At 34.5% G+C, this 8,707-nt stretch overlaps 1 protein-coding gene across 2 annotated transcripts in view; it reads left to right on the forward strand.

The window, feature by feature from the left end:
* TMEM170B (transmembrane protein 170B) overlaps positions 1-8,102 on the forward strand; it is a 45,776-nt gene extending 37,674 nt beyond the window's left edge. The window contains exons 3-4 of one of the 2 annotated variants that reach the window (XR_007059185.1): positions 9-586; positions 1,740-8,102. Coding sequence is in view for 1 of the 2 variants with exons in the window: in NM_001100829.3 (NP_001094299.1) it covers positions 9-139 (131 nt within the window). In the remaining variant the exon portion in view is untranslated. Of the gene's footprint in view, positions 1-8 lie in introns of both variants that reach the window. The other variant, NM_001100829.3, reaches the window with a different exon arrangement.
* Positions 8,103-8,707: the final 605 nt, after the last annotated feature.

Here is an 8,707-nt window from a genome sequence, read left to right on the forward strand (position 1 = left end):
CTCCTTAGGTGCAGCAGTAGCGGGCATTTACAGAGTAGCTGGGAAGAACATGGCCCCTTTGGAAGCGCTGGTATGGGGCGTTGGACAGACTGTACTGACATTAATCATCTCCTTTTCAAGGATCCTCGCTACACTTTGAGGTTTCTGTGGGAATGTCTTACTTCACATAAGGAAACAGATGTACAGATTCCCTGAAAACGGCATTGTTAACAAGTGGAAATGAAATTGTGCAAGAATGTGGACTGAGCAGGTCAAAGCATAAGGAAGACCTTGAGCTGTGTGGAAGGATTGCCCTCTGGTGTTCAAGTGATTGCACTACCGCACTGCACCTTATGTGCCTCTGTCTCAGGCAAGGTGCATTAAGACACTATGTAAAGTTACAAGAAAAAGCACCTTGTTTAGCTGCCTATCAGGTTAACATTGGTGTTGAAATCATCGTTCCTAACAGTGTTATGTTAAGTTACAGGGACGTTTTGAGGTATTGATATATGTGCCAAACTCTTTTCTTTTTGTTAACATTGATCATGTGACAATTTGCAAGTGTAGATGTAGCTGAGTGCTGTGAACATATTTGACATGAATTCAGGTAATGTACTAAGATTTTTGTTCGGTAACACTAAATCCCGTATGAGTGCTAAATACTGAATTGTTTAATATGAGAGAAATTATTTGGTTTTTAATGTTGCGCGTTTCTGGGATTTAGGGCTTCAATATGTTTAGGTATTATTGTTATTTAATTGATGTGGAAGATAAGTCTTCTTAACTGAAGACTAGCTCAACTGTTTTAAGAACTCAGAGTAGCTCTATAGGGTGCATACTTTTCACCAACTTAAGTAACACCCTTTTAATAGCTTCTCTCATGCATCCATATTCTGTTTATACAAATTCAGAAACTTGAAGGGTCATACACATTGATTGTAGTTTGTGCGTCATAAAAATGTAATTTGAAGATTTTCTTAAAAATTTTTGTAAGAAAAAAGTCTGAAATGCATGTTGCATTCTTTGACCCTTCTAAAGAAAGTTTTTGCCTTGTATCTCATGGACAAAACATCTTTATAACTAGTATCTCAGTGGGATTGTATTACGTGTTGCATATATCTTGATTTTTGACAAAACATAAACAGTCTTTCATTCTGGAGTATTAACTGTTTTTAGAGACTGGCCTAAATTAGGCTCTGGAAATAAAGACCTCATTTGTAGAAATAAGTAACAAGTAAGTTATATAGGAAGAGTAATGAACTATTTTACTTTGGACATGTGGCAACATCATAATTTTGCTAAGTAAAAATTGGGGAATATAGTAGATAATTTTAAAATTTGGCAATTAGTCTCAGCATATCAATGCAGTACTGAGCGTGTATTAGAGTAATTCAGTTGTTCAGTTCTTGATTTATGATATGAAGTTATGATTTAAGTTTAGTAGAAGAATCTGTGAGGGCATATAGCAAAAGTGGAAATGTCCTTTATATAAAACATTTTAAGAGGTTCTGGCAATACGTAATTGTAAGAGTATAGGAAGTAGGGTTGAACTGGTCTCCTAATGAGATTTTTTTTGGCACCAGATACAATTATAATGTGCTAACTCAAAGGAGACATTGCAGAGAATATGAAGTTAAGGATAATCCAAAAATAACCTGGTAGCCTTGCTGTTTAATCCAATTTGCTATAAAAGTAGGCCTTTGTTATATTACATTCAAATTTAAGAACTTTGTTACCCATACCACTTTTTCTCTATCCAGAAGCAGAGTATATCCACAACTTACCAATGAGAAGTTGGAGAGGCAGTACTTTTCTCAGTATGGAAGCCAATTTGGGAGATTTACTAACACTGGCTTGGAAATTTGTTTTAAAAAAATAATAAGCAACTATGCATGGATCTTTGAAGTAAATCTTAAAATTGATTATTTTTATTATGTACAGGCCTGAAATTGTTTTCATGTGTTCTTTATATTCCTGATGTTTTTACAAATTAAATTTAGGCATAACTTTTCCAAGTCAATCTGATTTTTTCTTTTCTGCCAGACTTGAATTGTGTTCTTCTTTTACTTTGGCTATTCTGTCAATAATTTAAAGCATTCGTATTCTTCCAGAGGAATTACCAATAGCATGTGGAAATTGTTTCAGATCTCCAGAATGAATACTTATTTTAACATATGTTTATTTTATGATTTAAGAAAGTTATGGTAAAGTAATATGGAGCATGATTCATAATCCAAAATTAACAAGAAAATAACTTGGATACATTAAATGTACTAATGTGTGGACCAAAGAGATTTAAACTATTGTTTTTACTCTAGAATGAAAGTATAATTGAACGGTTAATAATTAGTTTGTAGAGTGTCCTGCAGTTATTATCAAGTTGCTTTACATTATCAATTGTGTGTGTATGTGTATACTTTTAATTTTAGGGGTTATTTTTGGTTTCTTTGCTGTTTTCAGTTATTTCCATTGAGATTTTGTGCAACTGTCTCTCTTTTGATGTTTTGAGATGCAGTTGAATAGTTTGAGTTTGTGAATTGTCTTAATAGCTATTTATATGCTGAAATTTTTAAAAAGTTAGTAGCTTTCCTATAGACACAAGAAATGTTTAATGATATATATACACACACGTATATATCATTATATAGGTATATAGAGAGCTGCTATATATGAATACAGTCTACTTGGAAAGCTTTTTTTCAGTGAACACTTTCATGTTCTAGTGGAAAATTTGTTCAGTGTAATGATCTTTTAAATAGGTTTGAGGATGTTTGAAAATTTTGAATTTTGGGAAAATTTTCTTCACTTAATAGAGCTGGAGACCCTTGTTTGGGACATGACAAAAGTCCTTATTGATGTATTTGGGTTATATACTTTGTTAAAATTCGTATGTGATTTAGCAGTACATTTTCTTCGTGACAAATGCAAGAAGGGAGGGAGGATCCTCTATAGTGGACACTCCTTTATTTAAAAAATGTTTAATAAAATATTGTTTATAGTGAAATCAGCTCCCCAAAGAAGGAACTCCTACATGCCCAAACTAATTACAGTTGAACATACTGATTAAAAATGCCATAGATCACAGCTAGTCAGGAGGCCTCAAATAAACTGCAAATAATGCTTAAAACTTTAAAAGAAGGAGAACCAGCAGTCTTCCGAACCATGGGACAGTTCCAAGGTAATAGCCTACCTTGCCTAGGATAAGTGAAGTCCTAAATGATGGCTATCTTCAGGGCCTGGAGCAGAATTATTCTTTAGATCTTAATGTTTACCAAACAGTGTTACAGTTTGTTACCCAATATACTTTCTTAGTATTTGCAGCATACATTTCACTGCTCAAAAAAGTATAAGGGTTTTGTTTGTACTTTAAATGAGAGAAATAAAGAAATGAGTTGGCCTGTATATCTTGTATTTGTGATATGAGCAACGGGATAATTTGAAATCACAGAATGTTGTGGGAAAGGTCTTTAAAGAACCTCTAATGAAGAAAATGTGGCTGCCACATTGATGTACCTAGGCTGCCACTCATACAGCAAATAATTCTATTTTGTAAACACTTCGTGTGGATCCACTATGTAAAGTGCTCTACCAAGTATTTTCTCTAGTAAGAAGTACAAGAATTACCAAGATGGAATTCTTTACCTTGAGTACACCAAGAGCTAGCAAGATGATTTTTAAATCCTAAAAAGTTTGGGACAACATTTTGCTTCCTGATTTTAGTTGAGAGTTAGCCTGTTATCCCTCCAAATTCTCATTTTCCTGGTTCATCCACTAAATAGAATTTCCATAACTGAGATATCATGGCTGTGACATAGTGAAGAGAATACGAGACTCCAAGCCAGCAACACAGATTGAATTAAGACTCTGTCACTTGTCAACTTTTTGACCTTGAGCAAATCACTTAACTTCTCTGAGCCTCAGTTCATACTCCGTAAAATGTGACTAATACCTCATGTAGTTATTGTGAGGATTACGTGAGATTGTTTATGAATGGCAAAGCAGTATGTATTTCACAGTAAATGATCAACTGATAGTCTCTAGAATTTTTTTAAATTACATTTTGCAATTGCATTACCAATTGAATATGTTGTTTTGTAAAATTCATCAATTTTGTTTCATTTCTATATTTTCCTTACATATGCTTTAGGAAAGAAACTAAAAACGTTTTCTTATAATCTTGCTTCATCTCCTTTTCACTTTTTCTTTTTAAAATCAGCAGATCTTTAAGAACCTTTTGTGAATTGGTGGTGGTGGAAATGGCCAGTGCAAGCAGGATTAAATTAGGAGTTCTGTTGACCACTGGTTAAAATAGGAAAAGGGTAGAGAGGTAGTCAGCCTTGACTCCCTTATCTATTCCCACTTACTTCCCTTGGATTCATTCAGCCATGTTGATTTATTGACTTTCTGCTATTTGCTAATTATTCTTCTTGAAAAGTAAGAGCGATATATAACCCTTCAGTCTTCTATATGTCTGTTTCTTCTGCCGGCCCTGGGCCCTTGGCTCTACAGTGTAGTGCCAATTCTGTAGAAAAATAGAACGATATTCAGTGTCTACCAAGTTCTTTCTTCCACAGGCCAAGGGTGCTTAAGCCCTAGCTGTTATTTTGTTTCTTTTATTTATTTATTTTTTGAGACGGAGTTTCGCTCTTGTTGCCCAGGCTGCAGTGCAATGGCATGATCTCAGCTCACCGCAACCTCTGCCTCCCAGGTTCAAGCGATTCTCCTTCCTCAGCCTCCCGAGTAGCTGGGATTACAGGCGTGCACCACCATGCCTGGCCAGTTTTGTATTTTTAGTAGAGACAGATTTCTCTATGTTGGTCAGGCTGGTCTCAAACTCCCGACCTCAAGGGATCCACCCACCTTGGCCTCCCAAAGTGCTGGGATTACAGGTGTAAGCTGCCGTGCCCAGCCTATTTTTTTTTAACTTCAAATACTATTATTTTAAATTTATGTTCATTATGTAATTCAGGGAGTAACGATGCCTGGAGCAATTTCTGAAATATTCTCAAACCACTTCACTCTTGACACTACAGATTTTTCTCTCAGTCTCAATCAGAATCTCTGCAGTCATTATTTGTTTTTAAGATGTGAGGGACGAGGAAAATTACTGAAGAAATTCTAGCAGATTTCGATTGCAGAGAAATTTGGTAACACTTTTTGGGTAACTGGGTAAATTACTATTTCTTTTAATAATCGGGTGAAACTCTGAATTGTTAAAACGGACCAATAATCAAATGGTTTTATAATCTTTCTTAACTTCCCGTCCTTGTTATAACATCTTGGAAGAAGACTCTTCAGGATAAAAAGGATATTATTTGATTAAAAATTATAGCATTTGGAGAGGTAACACACAAAAACAAAAACATATTTGACAAAGCGCCCTACATCCTGTGTTTTGTTAGGACTAGAAACTATACTGGATGAGTATGTATACTGCATGTTTACACATGCTGTGTTTCTTTATATGTGAGGCTTCACTGACCACCGTGCATTTTGAAATTGTATTGCATTTTGTGTGTGTGTGTGGTGACAGGTTTGCTCTTCTCACTTAAGGAGCTCTGGTCTGTGTAGGCAGTACAGTGTTGTTAGGGAGGTTGCTGAATTATCTAAAAATGTATCCATGAATTTGGGGGAAATAATGCTTAATATCTGAAGTATTTTCAGTAAATGTGGAGATATATCAGATAATACTTTTAAATTAGTGGAAACACATTTCTGAGTGAACTGAGCTATGAACTATAATCATCTCTTCCCCTGAGTTTAGGGAAGTTGTTTTCACATTCTTTACATTTATTGCACATATACTGAACTTACATAATAACTCTTCCCTGATTTTGAGAACGAATTTAGCAATTTCCTAAAAATCTTCCTCCTCTTTCCATACAGATGTCGTATGTTATAGTTTAAACATATGTACAATTTGTTGATAGAATCCAAGGAGCTGGTTTAGGAAAGAATACTCTTAACCCCTACAGTTATGCAGCTCTAATCTTACTGAAAAGTAAATACTTTAGGCAAGTCAGGAGAGCATGAACCTCATACATACATTTTTACGATTATGTACTGCACCCACATGTATCTACTCTTGGTAGTAACATGACTCCACCCTTTTTGGGAATGTATTTAGGTGGATAACTGAAACGGAAAAGCAGTTTGACACAAATACACAGAAAGAGGAATTGCGGTGCATAATCAATCGTCTGAGTCCCATAACTGTAACACTTTTTCTCTTATAAATTGGTAGTTCCTAAAAATCACCACTTTAAAAATTTTATTCTGTCTTGCTGAATTAAGCAGAAATCACTTTTTTTAGAGCCTTGTTTAAAGGAACGTTAACTCGAGAGTACTACTGATGATGACGCTTCTCTTGTTTTTAAAGTATTTACACATCATTGTTAAGTATTTTTGGAATGGAACATTTTAAAGTTTTCTCCATAGAAAGCAACATAGTGGCACTTGTTGAGTAAATGATCATAAAAATGACTTGCTTTTAATAGCAGATGAGTTGATAGTTTAACTGTTGACACTTTCTTAATGTTTTTGATGTTGGATGCATTTACAATGGAAGAATTTTTTTGAAAGATTTGGCCCTCTCACCAATACACACATTCAGACTTGAGCTGCACGCATTTAGATGAACAAATAGGAAATTCACGGTATTTTTTGTTTTAGCCATCCAAAATTCATAGGATTCTACCAAAAATATTAGCCCCTGACTCTAGTTATTCTGAGATGAGGGAATCAACTTTATCTTGAAAGTTAACTAGCTAAAATGTCTTTATTTAAATAGCAAAAATATAGTTTACCTGACAAGTATTAAAAGTCTCACTTTCAAATTGTGTTAACTCTCAGACCACTGATGAATCTTTTGGTAAATCACAGGCAGATTTTAAAAGCTAAATGAAGCCTTAGTGCCTTGAAAGTTAAGATACTTGTGCAAAATGGATTTAGCAAGATTCAGGATTGGCACCAGTGAGTTGGCTAGATACACATCACCAGTGACTGGGAATTCAAAGTTTAGAAAGCCTAACGAATAGTAGCTACTAACTTCATATGGTTCAATGTAAATCAGTTACTTAGTCATTGACTGTGACAGATGACAGCTACTTTCACTATATTTTCATGATGTGGTATTTTTCTCTATTTTTTCTTTTTCCAAGTATGAAATGGAAAAAAATGTAGTTAAGAAAATTAAGTGTGAGACTTTAAAATTTAGTTTTGTTGTAAACTAGAGATTCTAGTGAACAGTGTTAGTTTTATACTGTAGTACAGGGCACACACTTTAACCTTTAGAAATATGTTTACCATCAGGGATTTATTTTTACTATAGAAATACTAAATGTACTGTGAAGCTTAAAGACAGGAGAATAAATGTTGGAGGGGTAATACACAAAAACAAAGGCATATTTGATGAAGTACCCTGTGTTATGTGAACACAATTTCCCCTTCTGTTAAGACTATAAACTATATGAGTATGTGTACTGCATGTTTACATAAAACAGTTTAATTTTGAAGGATTATTTTAAAAACTATGTTTATATATAATACCTAACAAGCTGTAAATATTGTATATTATTGATTTTTAATTTTATATAAGCAATTTTTTATTTCCCAATTCATGTACAAATCTCATTATGTATATAGCATAATTTCCTGGAGAACACAAATTTTGCAGTGAATTTTAAGTAATTTTAATTGCAGTAAGCATCAGTTTAGCCTAGAGATGTTGATCTTTATTTTAAATTATTTTTCACCATTCTCATTTTCTTCAAAGGGCAGCAATAAACATATGCAAGTTATTTTTAATTATAGAAAGTAGGTCTACAAAGATAAGATCTAGGTTCCAATTCATTGCTTTAAGGAAAAGATGCACAATTACTATCATTCAGTGTCTAATCACAGGACCATTTCTGAGGTCCACATGTGGCTCTCCTCTTTGTAATATACAGGGTGAACTCTTTACTGATACACACAAGACAACTGTTAAAAAGTGAATCCAGCACTTAAATGTCATTACACAGAATTTATTGGATTAAAAATTTGTAATATACAGTATTTTAATAAAGTTTCTGTATTCAATTTCATGCACTTATATATAAATAAACCTGTCTTTGAAAGCTTTATGGGGTGTTTGACTCTTGGTGATAAATCTTTTCAATTCATTCACTATGGACTCAAATGTCTTCTCTTGCCTTTTTGTCAATTTTTCTGGCCCTGTTTTACCTACAGATTTAGGAGTTAGTGCTTAAAAGCTGAGAGGCGACCAGCTTGGCCAACGTGGTGAAACCCGTCTCTACTAAAATACAAAAAAATTAGCTGGACGCTGTGGTGTGTGGCTGTAGTCCCAGCTACTTGGGAGGCTGAGCCTGGGAAATCACGGGAGGCGGAGGTTTCAGTGAGCCAAAAACGTGCCACTGCACTCCAGCCTGGGCGACAGAGTGAGACTCTGTCTCAGAAAAAAAAAAAAAAAAAAAGGTGTGAGGCATAAAGTCTGGTTAATAGACTTGCCTAGGATCAATCCTGGGCCACATAGCATCTACTTCTGAGTTACCGTTTAAAGAAACATGCTATCAATTTTATTAATAAGGAGCTACCATTTGTTGAGTGCTTCTTATCTGTTAAAGACACTTCCTATGTATTCTTTAACACTTAAGGTAACCCTTCAAGTGATATGTTTTATCGCCGTTTTATAGATGAAGCATTTGAAGTTAAGAGAAGGTAGGAATCT

Source organism: Homo sapiens, chromosome 6, assembly GCF_000001405.40.
Source record: "Homo sapiens chromosome 6, GRCh38.p14 Primary Assembly".
Lineage (NCBI taxonomy): Eukaryota > Metazoa > Chordata > Mammalia > Primates > Hominidae > Homo > Homo sapiens.